Source organism: Homo sapiens, chromosome 9 (genome assembly GCF_000001405.40).
Source record: "Homo sapiens chromosome 9, GRCh38.p14 Primary Assembly".
NCBI lineage: Eukaryota > Metazoa > Chordata > Mammalia > Primates > Hominidae > Homo > Homo sapiens.
Genome location: NC_000009.12, coordinates 69,411,717 through 69,436,399, shown reverse-complemented (window position 1 = coordinate 69,436,399; position 24,683 = coordinate 69,411,717). Strand labels below are relative to the sequence as shown.

Below are 24,683 nucleotides of genomic sequence, written 5' to 3'. Positions count from 1 at the left end.
AAGAATCAATATCATGAAAATGGCCATACTGCCCAAGGTAATTTATAGATTCAATGCCATCCCCATCAAGCTACCAATGACTTTCTTCACAGAATTGGAAAAAACTACTTTAAAATTCATATGGAACCAAAAAAGAGCCCACATTGCCAAGTCAATCCTAAGCTAAAAGAACAAAGCTGGAGGCATCACGCTACCTGACTTCAAACTATACTACAAGGCTATAGTAACCAAAACAGCATGGTACTGGTACCAAACAGAGATATAGACCAATGGAACAGAACAGAGCCCTCAGAAATAATGCCACATATCTACAACTGTCTGATCTTTGACAAACCTGAGAAAAACAAGCAATGGGGGAAAGGATTCCCTATTTAATAAATGGTGCTGGGAAAACTGGCTAGCCATATGTAGAAAGCTGAAATTGGGTCCCTTCCTTACACCTTATAAAAAATTAATTCAAGATGGATTAAAGACCTACATGTTAGACCTAAAACCATAAAAACCCTAGGCAATACCATTCAGGACATAGGCATGGGCAAGTACTTCATGTCTAAAACACCAAAAGCAATGGCAACAAAAGCCATAATTGACAAATGGGATCTAATTAAACTCAAGAGCTTCTGCACAGCAAAAGAAACTACCATCGGAGTGAACAGGCAACCTACAGAAAGGGAGAAAATTTTTACAACCTGCTCATCTGACAAAGGGCTAATATCCAGAATCTACAATGAACTCAAACAAATTTACAAGAAAAAAACAACCCCATCAAAAAGTGGGTGAAGGATATGAACAAACACTTCTCAAAAGATGACATTTATGCAGCCAAAAGACACATGAAAAAATGCTCATCATCACTGGCCATCAGAGAAATGCAAATCAAAACCACAATGAGATACCATCTCACACCAGTTAGAATGGCGATCATTAAAAAGTCAGGAAACAACAGGTGCTGGAGAGGATGTGGAGAAATACGAACACTTTTACACTGTTGGTGGGACTGTAAACTAGTTCAACCATTGTGGAAGTCAGTGTGGCGATTCCTCAGGGATCTAGAACTAGAAATACCATTTGACCCAGCCATCCCATTACTGGGTATACACCCAAAGGACTATAAATCATGCTGCTGCAAAGACACATGCACACGTATGTTTATTGTGGCACTATTCACAATAGCAAAGACTTGGAACCAACCCAAATGTCCAACAATGATAGACTAGATTAAGAAAATGTGGCACATATACACCATGGAATACTATGCAGCCATAAAAAAGGATGAGTTCATGTCCTTTGTAGGGACATGGATGAAGCTAGAAACCATCATTCTCAGAAAACTATGGCAAGGACAAAAAACCAACACTGCATGTTCTCACTCATAGGTGGGAATTGAACAATGAGAACACATGGACACAGGAAGGGGAACATCACACACTGGGGACTGTTGTGGGGTGGGGGGAGGGGGGAGGGATAGCATTAGGAGATATACCTAATGCTAAATGACGAGTTAATGGGTGTAGCACACCAACATGGCACATGTATACATATGTAACAAACCTGCACGTTGTGCCCATGTACCCTAAAACTTAAAGTATACTAATAATAATAAAAACGTTAAAGTGGACATTTTAGTAATAATAAACATCTGTTGGAATGCTTTAAAAAAATGTAGCATGGCCTTTTTTTTTTTTTTTAAATTGAGATGGAGTCTCGCTCTGTCATCCAAGATGGAGTACAGTGGCACGATCTCGGCTCACTGCAACCTCCACCTCCTGGGTTCAAGGGATTCTCCTGCCTCAGCCTCCTGAGTAGCTGGGACTACAGGCACGTGCCACCACGCCCGGCTAATTTTTGTATTTTTAGTAGAGGCATGGTTTCACCATACTGGCCAGGCCGGTCTTGAACTCCTGACCTTGTGATCCACCTGCCTCTGCCTCCCAAAGTGCTGGTATCCCAGGCTCCCAGGGCCTTTGACTTTTTTTTTTTTGTTTTAAGCCAGTTTGTTCCCTGAAGGAATCCATCAAGAAAGAGTATGAGTGGATGAAGGAGGCTCAGCTCCCTCTCTGGACAGAGTCCCTTCAGCAGAGATTCCCACCCAGAACCCAGTGTTTCTGTGACATGCAGGACTGCCTTCCCGGCTGCCAGCTTGAGAGTTTGGGATGCACCCTCCAAGAGCCTCCTTGCCTCTGGACTGTCCACCCTGGCTGCACAGAGTCCCGCAGAGCAGCTGACTCCCAAGCCTGGGGCTGTACAGTGCAGGGGCCGGCTCAGTTCCCACAGTCACAATTGGGACTCGAACAGTTTGGTATTTGAGTGATCCTTCAAACCTTGGCCTTCCGGCGAAGCCAGGCAGATCACTTGAGGCCAGGAGTTTGAGACCAGCTTGGCCAACATGGCAAAGCCCAGTCTCTGCTAAAAATACAAAAAGTAGCCAGGTGTGGTGGCGGGCACCTGTAATCCCAGCTACTCAGGAGGGTGAGGCAGGAGGATCACCTGAACCCGGGAGGCAAAGGTTGCAGTGAGCAGAGATTATGCCACTGCACTCCAGCCTAGGTGACAGAGCAAGACTCTGTCTTAAAAAAAAAAAAAAAAAAAAAGTCCTAGGTAATTAAAATATCATTCCAAATACATTTGAAGGTTTAGAAATACCCTTGAACTTCCCATTTGGAGTTGAAATATCCAGCCCCACTTCCTGCATTCTTTGTACCTGAGTAGCCTAATTTGCCTATTAGGAGAGGATCTAGGGTGACTCTTTACAGTTTAGCTCTGAGATCATCTTTTCATTGGTTTGTACTTGTACTTGTTTGCTTTGTTCATAGTTAAACTGCATTAAAAGTTCAGATACGAACAAGGAGTTGTTAACATGTGTGGGTCCACTGGGAAAACACCTAAGGAATGTTTTGACCCCAGACTAGCTGAGAGAGCAGCTGGGCCACACACTCAGAATCACACAGCATGTTGCTGCAAGATGTCACTTGCAATCTTGTCTGCATCCACTTTTAAATAAAGGTGCATGGTCTGGAATGAAAAGCCAACTTAGTAAATTCAGACCTACTCTTTTGGGAAAAGTTATGTTGTAGTGTGTGTGAGGTAAGGGTGGAGGGCGCATCAGCCCCGCCTGCAACCTCGGGTCACTGTGGTACCTGGCTGTGCCATCACAAAATCCAGCCTCACTGTCTTTTCTGTGGGAAGGGAGTTTGAACAGGGGCCGCTGAATTGGGAAACTCTGAAGGAGTCTCTCCCCTCCAGCCAGCCACACTTTGGAACACGGAGTGGAGTTCCAGCCCCATGGTGGCTCAGGCAATCGTGACCCTAAAAACAGTCTGCTGGCATTAAACGCTTCAGTGCTTGAGTCCCAGTCATGACTACGGGAACTAACACTAACCTGTGTCACACAGGCTGACAGTTTGGAAACACTGGCGACTCTGCGACAGACCCAAATGGCCCTTTTTACCCAGCCCCAGCTGGGATGAGAAGTAGAATTCAGTGTGCCGTAAAAACCAGTGATGTGCTACAGTCTCTGTGCAAGCCGCATGAACAAGGTGGCCATGTGGGCCGACGGCACCTATTTTTTTGTGAAAAGACACTAAGAGAGTTAAATGCCCAAAGCCTAACCATGTCAGTTTCTCCAAGAGCAGAGTGTAGGGGCAGGGGGCTTTCAGGAAAGACGGCCTTCCAGCCCCACCGCACTGTCTGCAATGAGGGTAACTCTGCCTTTGACTCTGGCAGATCTGCAGCCTCATGCGAGGGGGAATAGCTGAGAGAGGAGGCGTCCGTGTGGGGCACCGGATCATTGAAATCAATGGACAGAGCGTCGTGGCCACCCCCCACGAGAAGATCGTCCACATTCTCTCCAATGCTGTTGGGGAGGTAGGAGAGGTCCGGGGCTGAGGGTGGTGCTGAGGGCCGCGTCTGGTGCCCCTGCCTCGTATGCTCACCGTGGCCCTGAGCAGACCTTCCAGGAAAGCTCCCTGAGTTTCCAATCCTGAACACTCCCCAACAAGCAGACCTGTCTCTGACCAAATGCCAAACCCATTAGCAAGCAGTTATCTGGGAGCTCCTCCATGAAATGGAATCAGATCACCCTCAGCCTTCTCTTTCATCTGATGTGCTCACCTTCTCTTTTTAACACTCAGCTTTCTGTTGCTTTTCTGTATGGCCGCCTAAGTTGCCTCCATTTTCCCCAGTTAATCTCCCCAAATGTTTTTAAAAGATTTAAGTCTTAGACTCAAGTTGAATCAACAAAGTGGCCTTCCAGAGGTGTGACCCCAGTGCAGTGTGGCATGACGTGTCATTACTGTCAGTCATCACAGCTGTCAGTCAGTCATCATTGTTGCCATTCATCACTCCTATCAGTCATCACTACTGTCAGTCATCACTGCTGTCATTCATCACTGCTGTCAGTCATCACTGCTGTCATTCATTTATCACTGCTGTCAGTCAACACTGCTGTCATTCATTTATCACTGCTGTCAGTCAACACTGCTGTCAGTTACCACTGCTGTCAGTCATCACTGCTGTCATTGATTTATCACTGCTGTCAGTCAACACTGCTGTCATTCATTGCTGTCAGTCATCACTGCTGTCATTCATCACTGCTATCAATCATCACTGCTGTTCTAGGGCTGATTTGTCATCCTTGCCTCATCTGCCAAGAGAGATGAGGGAGGCAGGCACCCTGAGAAGCCTGGAGCCCTTCCTCCATTTTCAGAGTTCTTGCTTTTAAAAGGGTAGGGTCTGGTGAGAGCGAGAGCATTTGACTGAGAAATAAGCCTTGCTTGGTTTTTGTTGTTCATTTCTGTCACCCCTAAGCTTTTGAGAAAGTCAGTGGATTCCACTGTTCCTGGAGGCCACCCTGGGTCAGGTCCCTGGTGGTGGCTGGGCGGTAGGGAGTATCTTCAAAGCCCTCTGTGGGAGAGGCACTGCCTCTCTGGCCAGCCCTGGGCAGTGCCCACGCAGCCAGCCCCCAGCCTCAGCCCCCCACTAAAGTGTGTTCTTTACCCTCAGATTCATATGAAGACAATGCCAGCCGCGATGTACAGGCTGCTGACGGCCCAGGAGCAGCCTGTTTACATCTGACCGCGGCCACACGCGGTGGCATGCATGGAGGACTCTCCTCTTCGTGGTTGTGTTTCTCGTGCTGCATCCCTGTGTCCACTGAGACTTTCCCCTCTCGCGCCCAGCATTTGGTTTTACACAGGAAGAGAAGAATCCACAAGGACCTCTTTACTCTCTCCGATTTGCTTTTTTTTTTTTTTTTTTTTCAATACCAGGGAAGTTTCGTATGCACTCCCTTGAGGATGGAGAGCAGCCAGCACCCACCTGGTACTGACCCAGGACCATCCTGGAGGGCTTTCTGGGTGTGTCCAGGGGGTGGGCTGTCACTGCTTGAGGGAGAATCCTCCCTTCCCAGGAGGTGCAGACTTCTTAAAAGGAGCTCGCGGGGCAGCAAAGCAGCTGATTCAGCAGTGCCTAAAACCCAGTTGCTGATCCCTGCTCTCTGAGTTTATCTGTGGGAATGTGGTAGTACCCAGGGCCAGCCCACGTCATTAAGGTTATGCACTGCCTGCCATGTAGTTGGGGCACCATACATTATTTCTTCCCAGAATCTCTGAGCCAACCTTAAACCTCTTCTATTGCTAGTTCTAATTTCAACGTATGTGTGTTTTCTAATACGAGCCTTCTCACCCCAGGATAAAAGGGGAAATAACTGCCTTGGGCAAGGACACCATAGTGTCACAGAGAGCTTGGCAATTCATGGGGCATCTGAAGCTTTACCAGGTTGTCCTCAAGTTATCAACCATTAGATAAACACAGGCAGGTACTGTCTGCTTCTCTCTCTCTCACACACACACACACACACACAGTCCCATTTGCATATCACCCTTCCCTGCTCCCACCACCAGTGAGACAAGCTGAAGATTAGGCACACAGATCCCCTGGAAACCCACCTCTCTGGAAGGCCCCTTCCCTGGCAGGTGGCCAGGCAGGCGGGGGCTGCTCAGCCTCATCCTGAGAGACCTGCCCTCTCTGCGCTGAGGCCCAGCCCCTCCAGCACCACTTTGGCTTAAAGCATCCTCCTCCTGGACTCCCCTCCCTGCCGAACACACATCCCAGGAGTCTGGGAAGGAGGGACTGTTCCCAAGAAGGCAAGCTGCAGGTGCAATTGCGTCTTGTTTTCTGGCCCAAGGCAAGACCAACTTTCTTCTCTGCTCAGGGCCACTAGGCGGATGTGATATTGGAAAGGCCAGAATAGTACATAAACCACAAAATTAAGGAGACAATAGCAACCTCAAGTTATGCCTCAGAATCCCCAGATGTGGTCCATAAACACCCTCTTGCTGCCTTGTGGGCCTGAGAGCATTTTTGGCTGGTGTGGAATTGTTCCGTGTTTTCATCAGGTGCCTCATATTTATGCTTCCGTCTCAGTTCAGTGTAGATGTTTTAGTAATATTATAATTCTGAGCCAGTTTTCACTTGGTCCAAAGAGCATTTTGTGTTCATGTGAGGTGTGATTTGGCTTTGCTTTTGTTTTGTTTCATTCATGACCTCAGTAGAGACAGGGGAAGAGAAACTATTATATTTTGTAATTAATATAGTCCCTGTTCTCTGCATCCGAGATATTTATGTTGTGTCTATGGAAATAGGAACTCAGTGAGCAAATGGTGGGTAGCATGTATTTATAGAGAGAATGGAGGGATTCTAAGGAGGGAGCAAAGTGACTATAACAAGATTAGGGACAAGAGACTTCAACCAGAGAGTTCTGTGATCAATTCCCCGAGATCTCTGCATCTTCTGAGTTTTCTGCTTAGAATCAGGGAAGCTCAGTGCTTGACAGGAACGAGCAGTGGCACTCTCAGTTTCACTGTGTTACAAAGGAGCCCTGAGGAAGGGAGGCCGCTGGCTGCCCAGGTGCCCTGGGGGGAAAGGGACTTCTGCTGCTGCAGAGAGTGGCACCCGGTGGGGCCAGGGGCTCTGGGATGGTCCGTAAAGCTCCCCAGGACTTCTTTGAAGGATGCTTTACAGAATGTTTCTGGGAGACCAGCCTCAAGGTCAACCCATCACAAACGTGAGGACCAGGAAGGAACCATGGCCAGGGTTCTCCATTTGCTGTAGAGTATCTGGTGATACAGTGAGACACTAAAGAGTCATCAGCCAGTTCATCTTTCCTCTGCCAATAAGAGTGGATAGAACAGGAATGAAGTGTTACTGGTGGTATTTCAGGCATCAGGAGCCTTGGAAAATCATCGTAGGGGCCCATGCCTGTCTGTCCCTAGGCACCTGGGCAGTGCCACAGAGGCCCGCCCACGACTGGCCAGGGGACAGAACTCCAGTAGTGCATCCCTGTACAACCTGCACATAACGGTTATGTATGTTCACCTAAAGGAGAGAATATACTTTCTATTCCTATTGCACAAAAACCTTGTAAACTTTGAGAGGTGCTGAAAAAGCCAATTCTGCAAGCTCTCCTAGAGGACTGACATTGTAACATTAGAGTGAGAAGATTTCTCTGCCACATTCTTTTGTGTTAATCCAGGTGTGTCTTCACACCCAGTGAGTGGAAGTTGCTGGAGCTCGGTACAGGTCCACCCAGCTGAAGTGGGTTCTTTTTCCCACTACCACTGGGGCAAGGGAGTGAGCCTAGGTATGGTCACCTCAGCAGCCACAGTCTTAAAAGCAAGTCGCTAGATTTTTTGAAAGTCCCAAGAGAAGTGGTGGTCTTCCCTTCTGTCATCCCAGTATATATAGTTATACATGTAAATATCTAAATACCCCATGTAATGGGAAGGCTATGTACAGGGCAGCCTTCCCAAACGCTGTGAGGGCACAGAGCTGCTGTGGCTGCTCCACCAGGGTGTGCTGGTGGCTCAGCTTTGGGGTTGGACTCCCACGTTCACCTCCCCCTCCTGGTCCAGGCAGAGGCACCAGAACCCATCCTGCCTTTTCTCCAGTGTGAGCATTTCAGGGAGCCACCATCAGCCTTGGGTTCATGAGAGGAAGAAACCCCCAAAGACCAATGCCTGGAGCCCACTTCTCCAGCGACACCTTCCCTCGCCAGAGCAGGCTCCTAGGAGTGCATGGCAGGGGTGCCGGGTCCCTGTGCACGGGTTTGCTTTCTGAACATTGCCCATCAACACCGCCTTCAGGGAGTCCCAGAGTAACCTACTACCTCCCCCATCGCTCCTCTGCCCCCCTCACCCTGTGGGCACCAACACCTCCCGCACACAGATGAAAACCATCTACAGAGCCCTTCCCGGGTCCCTCGACCCAGTGGTGTAGCCGTTACCAATGTTTACAACCAGGGGCCGCCCCTCCTTAGATGTGTTTACTCGCATTCACAGGCCACCTGTTGGTTTGAGTTTCATGTGTCTCCTTCCCTGGCCTAGGTTGACTTGAGCACACAACTCGATCTTTCTTCCCCTCCATCAAGGCAGTGTGTGAGGACTGTGTGGGAATGACATTTCTTGTACATACTTAGCACAGCACCTAGAGTATGAACTTGTACTATTGTTCTGTAAAGAGGGTGAAATAGAGCTTATTGTAAAGTGTCGGGAGAAGTATAGTATTGTATTTGTAACAATATCGTTCTTTGTATACACAAAACTCAATGATCTATATATAAATATAAATAAATATATAAATAAAATATATCTACACGTGAGCCTGGAATGTGGACACCGCACACCCACTGAATGTACTTCCTTGACAGTCTGGTCACTGGTCCCTCCCTCCCTCCCTCCTCCGTCCCGTGGCCACAGTCATCCAGTTTGGGGTTGTGATGTATTTACTGTGCTATCTATCTTCCTTTATTTAACTGAACGCTAATGTCTGTATAAGAGTTGCTGCAACAATAAACAAGAACTTCACCTCTTGGCCTGGCCAAGTGTCTTCTTGTTGCAGGGAAGGCTTGGGATCATGTGATGAGTTTGTCTTTTCCCTAACAGACTGACTGACTAGCTCCTACCCACCCTATAGGCGCCCAGAGCCCAGGAGTTCTCTAAATGAGCTTTTATTCTGTGGAACTGACTTGGTTTTAGACAAGAAAGGCTCTGTTCTCCTGTCCCAGTTGATCCTCCAGTCCTGTGGGTCTCCTTTGAGCACACTGAACTGGAGAAAGAGAAATTCTCCGGATTTCTTACTTGACATCCTCCATGAGGGCAGGAAAACAGGAATTAATTCTCCCCCACCTCAGTCATCTCCCGTAAGGGAGGTACCTTTTTGTAAGGGACTAAGATCTAAGTGGACGGTGGAAAACAGCGCCCTGAGAGGCCCATCCAAAGGTTCTGTGAGAAGGTTCTGGAAGGTTTCCTCCTGGTGCTCTTTGGAAATTCACTTTTTGAAGGTTGCCAGGCATGCCCTCCCTGCTGCCGGGGGCATGCTGGGGGCCCTGGACTCCCCAACACAGAGTGTCCAGCCCTGTTCCAAAGCAGACTGCTTGTCAGCTTTTTCTTTGCATACACCCCTCCCCCATCTTCCCTGCAAAGCTTTTTGCAGCCCCGTCAGGTCTGTAGCTGCTGAAAGCCCTGAACATGGAGGCAGGGCCTTATCCTGAGGGTCCTGTGGCCTGGCCCCGAGGAGCCCCTTCTCCTCCATCCTCCTCACAGCAAGCAGAGTGTCCCACCACCGAGACGGCTGCCATTGAATCAAGTGGGAAGAAAGCACATTGAACTGGTGTCTGGGGAAGTCACAATTTGAAGAATGGCAGCTAGTCTTTATAGTAACTTCCATGTGCCAAGCATCCTACAGAGATGAACTTGGTAACTCCCCACAACACCTCTAAGAGGTAGAAGCTTTTCCTGTATTATCATTGTCTCCATTTTATACAGGAGGAAACGGGCACAGAGGGTTCAAGCACTTATGCTCAGCTTTCCAACAACTCCCACCTGCACCCACCTGGGACAGGCTTGTCATCGCACACGGATGAACTCAGCGTTAGACTTTTGGGTCTCTTTTGGTTCTTATAATGTTTTCCTTCCTGGTTTTCTTCCATTGATTTGCAAACCACATCTCTTATTCAAATCAGTCTGCCCTACTTCCCCATCCCCAGACTGGAATTGAGCACTGGCCTAGGAGAGCGGGACTTGCTCTCAGCTCCCTCCCTCCCTCCCTGTCTCCTTCTTTGAGTCCCTTTATGGGAAGGGGCATGGGTAGGAGGTGCACAGAGGTTCCCCTACATTAAGAGTTGCCCTTGGGAAGGTCACAGTCCTCGCCTTGCTGGTTCATTCTGCTGATCTGGTCCACTGACCAGGAGATCAATGAAGACAAACAATTGGCAGCAACCGGGCATTCAGGGTCCCTGAGCCCTGGGCCCCATCTTCCAGCTGACCCCTTAGCCACAGTCCTCTAAAGCAGCAGTCTCCACCTTTTTTGGCACCAGGGACCAGTTTCATGGAAGACAGTCTTTCCAGAGACCGGGTGCCACGGAGGGGGATGATTCAAGCACATTATATTTATTGTGCACTTTATTTCTCTGATTGTTATATAATGAAATAATTATACAATTCACCATAGAATTGTATAATTATACAGTTCACAATTCTATGGTGAACTGTATAATTCAGTGGGAGCCCTGAACTGGTTTTCCTGCAACTCAATGGTCCCTTCTAGGGCTGATGGGAGACAGTGACAGATCATCAGGCATTAGATTCTCATAAGGAGCCTGCAACCTAGATCCCTCGCATGCACAGTTCACGATAGGGTTCACACTCCTATGAGAATCTAATGCTGCCGCAGATCTGACAGGAGGCGGAGCTCAGGCGGTAATGTGAGCCAGCGACGGCGAGCGGCTGTAAATACACATGAAGCTTTGTTCACTTGTTGCTCGCCTCCTGCTGTGTGGCACAGTTCCTAACAGGCCACAGACTGGTACCAATCTGTGCACACCTCTAAAGTGCACACCTCTTCCACACAGGTTGTGTCCCCAGCCGCCTGCAGCCACCATCTCCCCAGCCAGCAAGCTCCTGAAGCATCCAGCAACCATCCTCCTCACCCTCAGAGGAAGGGAGGGGCACCCCTGGCTGTCTCTCCCCTGCCCATCCCAGAGCCATTGCTTCCTATTATCTCTCTCACCACCCACAGCACCACACCTTCTGCTGGTCCGGTCCCTCGGCCACATGTAGATAAGACGTTACCAGCACCCAGTTCAGTGTGTGGGGAGGCAAGTGGAGGGCACAGGCCCCCAGCCTTCACAGTGATGCTCTTGGGATTCGCCTCCCTTGACGAGGTCAATATTCCCTTGCCTCCCAGAGTGGAGTGGCGAGTAAGTAGCTCCTTTCCTGAATTCTGCACCCATCCCCCGCCAATGACAACACCCCTCTCACATCACCAGGATGACGGTGGGAAGACAGCTGGTGGGAGGGTCTAGTCTTTGAACTGGCACCTCTCAGCAAGCTCCCTGGAAGTCTGTCTGTCCCACAGGAGACCACAGTCCCCTGATGGATGGTATCTGCCTGTGTGGGTGTGGTCTGCCCCCACAGGCAAGGCTGCTCCTACCATAGACTATACCTTAGCTTCCCCCTCTTGGCTTTGATCTTAGATGAAATTGCAGAACTAGAGAAAAAAACCATTTAACCACCTTGATGCACATAGAACCACTTTATTTAGGTCTTTCTTCTATAATTTTTGCTTAAACTGTGATCCTCAGAGTTCCTTAAACCCTCTGAGCTTGTTTCCTCATCTGCAAACTAGTGTTTATCTCAGGGAGACCGTGTGAGGATAAGCTAACACATAGAAAGCTTTCAGAATGTGCATGGCGCATAGTGGTTGCTGAGGAAGTACTGGCCGTTCCTGGGGCCCAGCAGATCCAGGTCCTCATAAGCTTCCTGGAATTTCCAGACCCCCTGGGTACACCAACGGGAGCCACAACTCAAGAGGCTCCGCACGCACTTGCATGGCTTAGTGCAGGTCGCCCCCAAACACCCGAAGTCCTAAACTACTGATGTACTGAATTTCATCCAAAAGCAGATTTTAGCCCCTGGGAAAAACTTCTAGATGCCAATGCATACTTTTTTAAAAGTTAAAAAACATAACTCCCATAACAAAGATGGAATGAACACATATCAGAGATTTATTAATCATTAATGATGAAACAAGTAAGATGGTAAAGCTGGTCCAAAAAGTATTTGGAGGACCTAAGTATTTATAGACATTTTTAAAAGAATGTTAGAATAAAATTACTAGGTTTGAAGTAAAACCGGTTGCGACTGGGCATGGTGGCTCACACCTGTAATCCCAGAACTTTGGGAAGCCGAGGCGGGTGGATCATCTGAGGTCAGGAGATTGAAACCAGCCTGGCCAACGTGGTGAAACCCCACCTCTACCAAAAACACAAAAATTAGGCATAGTGGTGGGCATCTGTAATCCCAGCAACATGGGAGACTGAGGCATGAGAATCGCTTGAACCCAGGAAGCGGAGGTTGCAGTGAGCCGAGATTGCACCACTGCACTACAGCCTGGGTGACAGAGCGAGACTCCGTCTCAACAATAAAATAAAATAAAACAAAACTGGCTAATGTCCTTAAGGCAATACAATTATAACCTTTAGGGTTATCTTTCTACCAAATAGAAATCATTTGCATCTCTAGTTGTGGGCAGGAGGAGGGCAGTTGGTTGGTAATTAGTGCTCTGCAGAAAAAATAAAGCATGGACACTGCCCTCCAGCCTGGGCAACAGAGCGAGACCCTATCTCAAAATAAATAAAATAAAATAAAATATAAAAGCATGGAACAAGAATTGAAAGCAGGGGCCAGGTGTGATAGCTCACACCTGTGATCTCAGCACTTTGGGAGGCCAAGACAGGGGGATCATTTGAGCTCAGGAGTTCCAGACCAGTCTGGGCAACATAGCAAAACCCTGTCTCCACAAAAAAAAATAAAATTAACTGGACGTGGTGGTGCAAGTCTGGAGTCCCAGCTACTCAGGAAGCTGAATTGGGAGGATTGCTTAGGGCTTGGGAGGTCAAGGCTTCAGTGAGTTGAAATTGTGCCACTGCAATCCAGGCTGGGCAACAGACTAAGACCTTGTCTCAAAAAATAATAATAACAATAATTGAAATCAGGAGTTCAAACAGGTATTTGTACATCCCTATTTATGGTAGCATTATTCACAACAGCCAAAAGACAGAAGCAACCAAAGTGTCCATCGATGAGTGGGTCAACACAACATGGTACAGGCACACAGTGGGATATTATTCAGCCTTAAAAAGGAAGGAAATTCTGGCACATGCTAGCATAAGGGTTTATCGCTACTGGAAGGACATTATGCTGAGTGAAATAAGCCAGTCACAAGAAGATAAATACTGTATAATTCCACTTACATGAGATACCTGATGTAGTCAAATTCTTACAGACAGAAAGTAGAGGAGTGGAGGAAATGAAGAGTTATTGTTAAGTAGGTACAGAGCTCCAGTTTTGCCAGAAAAAGAGAGCCCTGCAGACTGATTGCACAGCAATGTGAATGTACGCTACACTACTGAACTATGCACTTAAAAATAGCTAAGATGGGAAATTTTATGTTATATGTATTTAACTATATTCTTATTTTAAAAATTAATGGTTAAAATAGTACTTTTTATGTTATGGTATATTTTACCACAGTTTTCTTTAATGTTTTTAACTAAAGCTTAGAATGAGTTTGGGGGTGGCTATTTTATGTAGGTTGGTTAGGAATGCCTCATGAAGAAGAAGTGAGGGAGGGCCCTGTGGATGCCTTAGGGATGCGTGTTCCAAGCTAAAGGGACAGCAAGGACAAAGGCCCTGAGGCCAGGCCTCTCTGGTAGGGCGTGGAGGCTAAGAAAGGAGAATTCAAGTGGCTGAAGATGCAGCCAGCAGGCAGAGGGTGGTGGTGGGAGATATAGGCGGTTACAGGAGCTTTGGTGCTACACACACACACACACACACACACACACTCACTCACATACACTTAATTGCTAATTGCTTCCACACTATCACACTCAACTCACACTCCACCTCCTCTGCGCCCTCCCCAGCAGACACCCGCTTCAGGAACCAAGTTGGTAAGAGCTAGTATTTGGCGCCCTCTGGTGGAATTACATGAGAAATGCCAAATCCAAATAACTGCCAAGATTCCCAGGCGATTGAGGGAAGGAGGAGCCTTGGCCACCCATCCCAGGCCCCTTGTTTTCCAGATAAGGAAACCAAAGACCCCAAGAGGGGTAGGACTTGCTGGAGACTACACAGCGAGCAGGCAGCTAGAACCTCACTCCCTAGCTCCCAGGCTAATGCTCCTTTGTATGATCCCAGCTGCTGACAGACAACAACGCGGACCTCATCTTCCTACTGGCCAGACCCAGGAGGCCCTGGAGGTAGGCTGAGCACACTGCTGTGACCCCAGTTCTCAGGCTAGCTCCAGAGTCTTTGTGACAGTGGCGCGGCAAGCAGCATAGATAACTGCTGCCTTCTAGTCCCTTCCTCCAGCTGGGGAGAAGCCATTCCTAGAAGGCTGAGGCTACCGCTGCGGGAAGTGGAAGGCGGAAGGCGGAAGGCGGGAAACAACCTCATTCCTACCCTGGACCCCCTTATCCAGGGTCTACTCCACATTCTGCTCCTATTGTCAGTCTCAGACATAGCACAACTGACCAGCTACTTACTACCTTAACCACCTCTTTCCCCTCCACTAATTGGAGTTTCTTATGGGCAGGAGCCAAATCTCCCTTGACTTTCTAGTCACCGTGGGTTATAATTAAAAGAGGAGTCACAGACCGGGTTCAAATTACAGCTTTCCTACCAATTGTCACTGTGTGATCTTGGCAAGCTACTCAACCACTCTGCTCCTCCAGTTCTTCACCTATGCGATGGGCACAGCTTGGCTCAGTTGTTCTAACCATTAGTGACTCTGTCCTTGAACATTTAGCATGTGCAGTAGACACAGTCATTGAGTACAAGGTACAGAACTAGTCCTGGAGGGGAAGGGTCCGGGAGCTTTTCTCAGAGCGAGTGAGATCTTTGCAGGGTTTGAATATACTACAGGAGTTTTCCAGGTCCCATGGTTGAAAAACAGCTTTCCATGCAGAGGCAAAGAAACCTGGAACAACAGGGTGAGGAGATCCCCACCTAGCACAGAAGCATCAAGCAAGCATGGTGGCGTTCCATCAAGTCAACTTAACTAGGCTAGAACTTTGTTTTCCAGACTTCCCTCCCTGTATGATTCCAAATGAGGACTGCAGGAGAGGTTTAGGTGAGATTTGGAGGGCAGATAGGAAGCGTCAGCCAAAATGCACTGTGGGTCCCGGCAACACCAGGGGCTGTCGCAGCTCATACACGTTGTCGATGGTCTGCTGGCTTGCACCAGCGGCTCAGAGAAGCAGCCGGTCGGCAGCTCCTCCAGATTCTCCCTCAGTATCTCTGAGACCTGGGCCAGGTGTGAGTGGGACTAACTCCTCCTGCAGGTCCCCACATCACTGCAGTGGGAGGCAGGTAGGACAGAACTCTGTCCTCATGGGTTCCAGTTCTACCTGCTCTCCCCCCATTCACTTGAGCTTTTCTTTATGATGGCAACCAGCTCTACCACACCCAGAGCCACAGCCTCCCACAGTGTAGCATGTCAGAGCTCCATTCATTCACCAGTATTATGAGTAACATCTTTGGCGATTCACATAGGAGTCAAACATTTATTTGTAGTCTGGTTTGGTGACACTATTCTTGGTAACAGAATTAGAAAAACTGATTGTGAGTTTGCAGGAAATACCAAGTCATACTGAAGTTATAGGTGGGTGGCATTTGCAATAAAGATTAGTGAGGCGGGGCATGGTGGCTCACACCTGTAAACTCAGAGCTTTGGGAGGCTGAGGCAACAGGATCATTTGAGCCTAGGAGTTGAAGACCAGTTAGGGCAACAGTGCAAGTCCTCCTTCTCTACAAAAACATAAAACATTAGCCAGACATGGTGTCACGTGCCTGTGGTCCCAGCTACTTGGGAGGCTGGGGCAGGAGGATTGCTTGAGCCCAGGAGTTTAAGGCTGCAGTGAGCTATGATTGCACCACTGCACTCCAGCCTGGGCAACAGAGTGAGTTTCTACCTGCACCCCCCCCAAAAAATGAGTGAATATATTATTATTATTTGTAAACTGTGTGTTACACATTCTTTATATCAGGTAAATAAGCACAGATGCACACTCATAGTTTCCCCCCCAGAGAGCTGGTTGTTAAACACTTACCAGCACACCTGCTGTGGCCAGCTTCTCAGCTACTTAAGCAATTTCTAAGCTTTCTTGTGGAGGGGTGGCCTAAAAATATTACTTTTATTACTAAATAAAATAAGCAATCATCTTTTTATGGTCCATTTGGGAGCACACAGGTCAAATGTCGACATTTTAGTTGTTTGCCACAGCATTAGAAAACAGGCTCTGAAGGTCTCCAGGACCTGCCTTGGCTAAGGGAGAAGAGACAGCATTCCAAGTGACACCTGAGGTCGCCTCCAGTGCAGTGGCCTCACAGGACACACAGTAGGCCTCTGCTCAGCTCCCATCTTACTGAAATCTCCAACCACAGCACAAACACAGTGAAATGTTTCCAGTGCAAAGTGATCTTTTGATCTTCTTCCCCTCACATGTTCACTAGAAATCCTCCAATATTCAATTTCTATTAGAAATGTGATTAAAATGGCCGAATAGGAACAGCTCCAGTCTACAGCTCCCAGCATGAGCAATGCAGAAGATGGGTGATTTCTGCATTTCCAACTGAGGTACCAGGTTCATCTCACTGGGGAGTGCCGGACAGTGGGTGCAGGACAGTGGGTGCAGCACACCTTGTGTGAGCCGAAGCAGGGCGAGGCATTGGGCTTAACAAATGGCACACCAGGAGATTATATCCCACACATGGCTCAGAGGGTCCTACGCCCATGGAGCCTCGCTCATTGCTAGCACAGCAGTCTGAGATCAAACTGCAAGGTGGCAGCAAGGCTGGGGGAGGGGTGCCCGCCATTGCCGAGGCTTGAGTAGGTAAACAAAGCTGCCAACAAGCTCGAACTGGGTGGAGCCCACCACAGCTCAAGGAGGCCTGCCTGCCTCTGTAGGCTCCACCTCTTGGGGCAGGGCATAGACAAACACAAGGCAGCAGTAACCTCTGCAGACTTAAATGTCCCTGTCTGACAGCTTTGAAGAGAGTAGTGGTTCTCCCAGCACACAGCTTGAGATCTGAGAATGGGCAGACTGCCTCCTAAAGTGGGTCCCTGACCCCCAAGTAGCCTAACCGGGAGGCACCCCCTAGTAGGGGCAGACTGACACCTCACACAGCCGGGTACTCCTCTGAGACAAAACTTCCAGAGGAACGATCAGGCAGCAGCATTTGCGGTTCACCAATACCCGCTGTTCTGCAGCCACTGCTGCTGATACTCAGGCAAACAAGGTCTGGAGTGGACCTCCAGCAAACTCCAACAGACCTGCAGCTGAGGGTCCTAACTGTCAGAAGGAAAACTAAACAAACAGAAAGGACATCCACACCAAAACCCCATCTGTACATCACCATCATCAAAGGCAAAGGTAGATAAAATCACAAAGATGGGGAAAAACCAGAGCAGAAAAACTGGAATAACTCTAAAAATCAGAGCACCTCTCCTCCTCCAAAGGAACGCAGCTCCTCACCAGCAACGGAACAAAGCTGGATGGAGAATGACTTTGACGAGCTGAGAGAAGAAGGCTTCAGACAATCAAACTACTCCAAGCTAAAGGAGGAAGTTCGAACGAATGGCAAAGAAGTTAAAAACCTTGAAAAAAAATTAGATGAATGGATAACTAGAATAACCAATGCAGAGAAGTCCTTAAAGGACCTTTGGAGCTGAAAACCATGGCAAGAGAACTACGTGATGAATGCACAAGCCTCAGTAGCCGATGTGATCAACTGGAAGAAAGGGTATCAGTGATGGAAGACAAAATGAATGAAATGAAGCATAAAGAGAAGTTTAGAGAAAAAAGAATAAAAAGATAGGAACAAAGCCTCCAAGAAATATGGGACTATGTGAAAAGACCAAATCTACATCTGATTGGTGTACCTGAAAGTGACCTGGAGAATGGAACCAAGTTGGAAAACACTCTGCAGGATATTATCCAGGAGAATTTCCCCAATCTAGCAAGGCAGACCAACATTCAAATTCAGGAAATACAGAGAACGCCACAAAGATACTCCTCGAGAAGAGAACTCCAAGACACATAATTGTCAGATTCACCAAAGTTGAAATGAAGGAAAAAACGTTAAGGGCAGCCAGAGAGAAAGGTCAGGTTACCCACAAAGGGAAGCCCATCAGACTAACAGCGGATCTCTTGGCAGAAACTCTACAAGCCAGAAGAGAGTGGGGCCAATATTCAACATTCTTAAAGAAAAGAATTTTCAAGCCAGAATTTCATATCCAGCCAAACTAAACTTCATAAGTGAAGGAGAAATAAAGTACATTACAGACAAGCAAATGCTGAGAGATTTTTGTCACCACCAGACCTGCTGTAAAACAGCTCCTGAAGGAAGCACTAAACATGGAAAGGAATAACCAGTAACAGCCACTGCAAAAACATGCCAAATTGTAAAGACCATCGAGGCTAGGAAAAAACTGCATCAACTAACGAGCAAAATAACCAGCTAACATCATAATGACAGGATCAAATTCACACATAACAATACTAACCTTAAATGTAAATGGGCTAAATGCTCCAATTAAAAGGCACAGACTGGCAAATTGGATAAAGAGTCAAGACCCATCCATGTGCTGTATTCAGGAAACCAATCTCATGTGCAGAGACACACATAGGCTCAAAATAAAGGGATGGAGGAAGATCTACCAAGCAAACGGAAAACAAAAAAAGGCAGGGGTTTCAATCCTAGTATCGGATAAAACAGACTTTAAACCAACAAAGATCAAAAGAGACAAAGAAGGCCATTACATAATGGTAAAGGGATCAATTCAACAAGAAGAACTAACACTCCTAAATATACATGCACCCAATACAGGAGCACCCAGATTCATAAAGCAAGTCCTTAGTGACCTACAAAGAGACTTAGACTCACACACAATAATAATGGGAGATTTTAACACCCCATTGTCAACATTACACAGATCAATGAGACAGAAAGTTAACAAGGATATCCAGGAATTGAACTCAGCTCTGCACAAAGCGGACCTAACAGACATCTACAGAACTCTCCACCCCAAATCAACAGAATATACATTCTTTTCAGCACCACCCCACACCTATTCCAAAATTGACCACATAGTTGGAAGTAAAGCACTCCTCAGCAAATGTAAAAGAACAGAAATTATAACAAACTGTCTCTCAGACCACAGTGCAATCAAACTAGAACTCAGGATTAAGAAACTCACTCAAAACCACTCAACTACATGGAAACTGAACAACCTGCTCCTGAATGACTACTGGGTACATAACGAAATGAAGGCAGAAATAAAGATGTTCTTTGAAACCAACGAGAACAAAGACACAACATACCAGAATCTCTGGGACACATTCAAAGCAGTGTGTAGAGGGAAATTTATAGCACTAAATGCCCACAAGAGAAAGCAGGAAAGATCTAAAATTGACACCCTAACATCACAATTGAAAGAACTAGAGAAGCAAGAGCAAACACATTCAAAAGCTAGCAGAAGGCAAGAAATAACTCAGATCAGAGCAGAACTGAAGGAAATAGAGACACAAAAAACCCTTCAAAAAATCAATGAATCCAGGAGCTGGTTTTTTGAAAAGATCAACAAAATTGATAGACCGCTAGCAAGACTAATAAAGAAGAAAAGAGAGAAGAATCAAATAGACGCAATAAAAAATGACAAAGGGGATATCACCAATGATCCCACAGAAATACAAACTACCATCAGAGAATACTATAAACACCTCTACTCAAATAAACTAGAAAATCTAGAAGAAATGGATAAATTCCTCAACACATACACCCTCCCAAGACTAAACCAGGAAGAAGTTGAATCTCTGAATAGACCAATAACAGGCTCTGAAATTGAGCCAATAATTAATAGCTTACCAACCAAAAAGAGTCCAGGACCAGATGGATTCACAGCCGAATTCTACCAGAGGTACAAGGAGGAGCTGGTAGCATTCCTTCTGAAACTATTCCAATCAATAGAAAAAGAGGGAATCCTCCCTAACTCATTTTATGAGGCCAGCATCATCCTGATACCAAAGCCTGGCTGAGACACAACAAAAAAAGAGAATTTTAGACCAATATCCTTGATGAACATTGATGCAAAAATCCTCAATAAAATACTGGCAAACCGAATCCAGCAACACATCAAAAAGCTTATTCACCATGATCAAGTGGGCTTTATCCCTGGGATGCAAGGCTGGTTCAACATATGAAAATCAATAAATGTAATCAAGCATATAAACAGAACCAAAGACAAAAACCACATGATTATCTCAATAGATGCAGAAAAGGCCTTTGACAAAATTCAACAACGCTTCATGCTAAAAATCTCTCAATAAATTAGGTATTGATGGGACGTATCTCAAAATAATAAGAGCTATCTATGACAAACCCACAGCCAATATCATACTGAATGGACAAAAACTGGAAGCATTCCCTTTGAAAACTGGCACAAGACAGGGATGCCCTCTCTCACCACTCCTATTCAACATAGTGTTGGAAGTTCTGGCCAGGGCAATCAGGCAGGAGAAGGAAATAAAGGGCATTCGATTAGGAAAAGAGGAAGTCAAATTATCCCTGTTTGCAGATGACATGATTGTATATCTAGAAAACCCCACTGTCTCAGCCCAAAATCTCCTTAAGCTGATAAGCAACTTCAGCAAAGTCTCAGGATACAAAATCAATGTGCAAAAATCACAAGCATTCTTATATACCAATAACAGATAGAGAGCCAAATCATGAGCGAACTCCCATTCACAATTGCTTCAAAGAGAATACAATACCTAGGAATCCAACTTACAAGGGATGTGAAGGACCTCTTCAAGGAGAACTACAAACCACTGCTCAATGAAATAAAAGAGGATACAAACAAATGGAAGAACATTCCATGCTCATGGGTAGGAAGAATCAATATCATGAAAATGGCCATACTGCCCAAGGTAATTTATAGATTCAATGCCATCCCCCATCAAGCTACCAATGACTTTCTTCACAGAATTGGAAAAAACTACTTTAAAGTTCATATGGAACCAAAAAAGAGCCTGCATTGCCAAGTCAATCCTAAGCCAAAAGAACAAAGCTGGAGTCATCACGCTACCTGACTTCAAACTATACTACAAGGCTACAGTAACCAAAACAGCATGGTACTGGTACCAAAACAGAGATATAGACCAATGGAACAGAACAGAGCCCTCAGAAATAATGCCACATATCTACAACTGTCTGATCTTTGACAAACCTGAGAAAAACAAGCAATGGGGAAAGGATTCCCTATTTAATAAATGGTGCTGGGAAAACTGGCTAGCCACATGTAGAAAGCTGAAACTGGATCCCTTCCTTACACCTTATACAAAAATTAATTCAAGATGGATTAAAGACTTACATGTTAGACCTAAAACCATAAAAACCCTAGAAGAAAACCTAGGCAATACCATTCAGGACATAGGCATGGGCCAGGACTTCATGTCTAAAACACCAAAAGCAATGGCAACAAAAGCCAAAATTGATAAATGGGATCTAATTAAACTAAAGAGCTTCTGCACAGCAAAAGAAACTACCATCAGAGTGAAAAGGCAACCTACAGAAAGGGAGAAAATTTTGGCAACCTACAGAAAGGGAGAAAATTTTTGCAACCTACTCATCTGACAAAGGGCTAATATCCAGAATCTACAGTGAACTCAAACAAATTTACAAGAAAAAAACAAACAACCCCATCAGAAAGTGGACAAAGGATATGAACAGACACTTCTCAAAAGAAGACATTTATGCAGCCAAAAAAACACATGAAAAAATGCTCATCATCACTGGCCATCAGAGAAATGCAAATCAAAACCACAATGAGATACCATCTCACACCAGTTAGAATGGCGATCACTAAAAAGTCAGGAAACAACAGGTGCTGGAGAGGATGTGGAGAAATAGGAATGCTTTTACACTGTTGGTGGGACTGTAAACTAGTTCAACCATTGTGGAAGTCAGTGTGGCGATTCCTCAGGGATCTAGAACTAGAAATACCATTTGACCCAGCCATCCCATTACTGGGTATACACCCAAAGGATTATAAATCATGCTGCTATAAAGACACATGCACACGTATGTTTATTGCGGCACTATTCACAATAGCAAAGACTTGGAACCAACCCAAATGTCCAACAATGATAGACTGGATTAAGAAAATGTGGCACATATACACCATGGAATACTATGCAGCCATAAAAAAGGATGAGTTCATGTCCTTTGTAGAGACATGGATGAAGCTGGAAACCATCATTCTCAGCAAACTATGGCAAGGACAAAAAAACTAAACACCGCATGTTCTCACTCATAGGTGGGAATTGAACAATGAGAACACATGGACACAGGAAGGGGAACATCACACACTGGGGACTGTTGTGGGGTGGGGGGATGGGGGAGGGATAGCATTAGGAGATATACCTAATGTAAATGACGAGTTAATGGGTGCAGCACACCAAGATGGCACATGTATACATATGTAACAAACCTGCACGTTGTATACATGTACCCTAACACTTAAAGTATAGAAATAATAAAATTTTAAAAAAAAAAGTGATTAAAAAAAAACCACTCACCATTCCAACCAAGCTCACTAACAGTTATGATAAGAACTAACATTCTTTGAGCACCTATAAGATGCCAGGCAAATGAGCTGCATAGGCTCTAGCACTTAACTGCACAGCAATATCACAGAGCAGGTATTATCCCCATTTTACTGATGAAGAAACTGACCTCACATGTGCTAGGTAATTTGCCCAAAATCCCAGAGTGATGACACAAACTTCATTCTGTCTTGTACTTTCCCATCCCCTCTTCCCTGAGGAGCCTGTGATCAGGGGTGAGACCCACAGGTACCCAGGTAGCTGAAATATCAGGCAGACTGCTCAGCACAAATGACATCTCAGGGAGAAGATGAACAGAACCTGCAGGGAGCTTGGGGAAGGTGGATGGAGCTGCGGGAGCCAGGTGGGCAGCCTCCGGGGAGCAGGGGCCAGGGAGAGGGATGATTTGGCCGTGGGGAGCACAGCCAACCCAGTTTGACAGGAAAGGTAGGCTAGAGTTAGACATGGGGCCCAAGGGACCAAGTCCATTTTCAGTTCCATTTTATTCTATTTCACTCTTGACTAAAGAAGAGCTCTGGGTGATGGCAGCTGGAAACTGCTGTTCATTGCTCGCTTGCGTTCTCACCCTTCAGCCTTCCTTCCCAGAAAGAAGCTTCGGAGCACTGCTTGGTGCCAGCCACGGTGCTGGGAGCTGCGGATGCAAGGACCGTGGCGATCGTTCCATGGCTGTTAGCCACGATGATTCTAGGAGCCTCGGTGGCCCACGTCCTAGGCTGGAGTCCCCATAGGCTACTGGGACTCGCCCTGCTTGGAAGTGGACGAGGCGTTTCTCCGGCCCTGGCTCTCCTGGCCTTCTCCAGCCCAATGTGTGACCCGCTACAGCCACCTGGTGGGCCGCGGGGGAATACAGCAACGATTTCAATAAACCCCAGGACATAGGCCCTGCCGGGAAAGGAGTCTGGGGCCTGGCATGGTCTAGATTCCCTCCCCAAGGACTGCCCAGTCCCCTTCCCCCTCCATCCTCAGTTCCCTTTAGTAATAGAGAAAGCCGTCCCCCGTGTTCTCTCGGCTGATCTATAGTAGGCGAGGGTGGGCATGGAATAAAACGACCGCTTCTGCTGCTTTACTCCTCAGGTTATTTCCATTCGAAATTAGTTAGGCAGGGAGGAGACATCAGGCTGGAGCCCAGAGGCAGGAGGGAAGCGCCCACCGACCCCACCCCGCGTTCCAAAACGTTCCCTCCAGCGCAGCGTCTCCCAATAGCCGGGATCCTGGGGGTCCCAGCCAATCTGATGGGGGTCGCGTTTTTCCCGGCCTGGGACGCGGGAGGCTCCATTCTGCACCAGAAGCGGGGAGGGCCAAGGGAGACATGAGCACAGCTGGCTCGAGTGGCTCGTGGAGTTAGCCTGCAGCCGCCTCTCTGGTGGGCGCTGGATCCCCACAAGCCCCCAGGGGAAAACGGTCTACGCCTCTTAGACCCGCACCTTCGCCAGCAGAACCGGAACTGCCACTGCTGCTAGGAGAAAGTCTTGGACAATAATCGCGACGTCCAGGCCACACAGGCCATAAACCGCCACGGGAGCAGCGAGCGCCCTGAGTAGCGCAGCCCCCCGCTCCCCAGGAGGTGGGAACCACGCTGGAACCAGCAAGCCCAAGCTCTGCGCCTTCGCGGCGAGATCTGACGGCCCTAGTGGCCCCCATCCTCCCGTCGGCCGGAGACCGGACCCGGTTACCACCACCTCCCCGCAATTTCTAGTCTCTAAATTATGCTGTCCCCGAAAACAAAGAAAGTGACCAAGAAATAATGTGAAAATGTTACCAAGAGAGTTTACTATTGAAAGAAGTCTAGCCATCAAATAAATGTCTTTTACTAAACGATGAATAAATCTGATGGTCTTTTTGTGGTAAATGGAATGTTTAGGTTCTTAGATTATGGTCATTCAGTCAGCAAACATCTGACTGCGGTTAATTCTGTGACGGGAGCTGAGAAGACCTCACT

At 46.9% G+C, this 24,683-nt stretch overlaps 1 protein-coding gene and 1 long non-coding RNA gene across 6 annotated transcripts in view, besides 1 other annotated feature; both read left to right on the top strand.

The window, feature by feature from the left end:
* Positions 1–8,868, top strand: part of APBA1 (amyloid beta precursor protein binding family A member 1) — a 245,482-nt gene extending 236,614 nt beyond the window's left edge. For all 5 annotated transcript variants that reach the window (XM_011518617.3, XM_005251968.4, NM_001163.4 and 2 more), the window contains 2 exons: positions 3,724–3,864; positions 5,002–8,868. In XM_011518617.3, the coding sequence (XP_011516919.1) occupies positions 3,724–3,864; positions 5,002–5,073 (213 nt within the window). In that variant the 3' untranslated portion in view covers positions 5,074–8,868. The remainder of the gene's footprint in view (positions 1–3,723; positions 3,865–5,001) is intronic.
* Positions 13,633–13,927: a silencer, noted in NCBI's record as "tiled region #1664; HepG2 Repressive non-DNase unmatched - State 12:CtcfO". NCBI's record gives its function as "represses a minimal TATA promoter and a strong SV40 promoter by Sharpr-MPRA in HepG2 cells {active_cell/tissue: HepG2}" and the evidence as "EXISTENCE:reporter gene assay evidence [ECO:0000049][PMID:27701403]".
* Positions 13,885–24,566, top strand: LOC124902177 (uncharacterized). Its single transcript, XR_007061568.1, has 2 exons — positions 13,885–14,317; positions 23,317–24,566. It is a non-coding gene; the product is annotated as an uncharacterized LOC124902177 (long non-coding RNA).
* Positions 24,567–24,683: the final 117 nt, after the last annotated feature.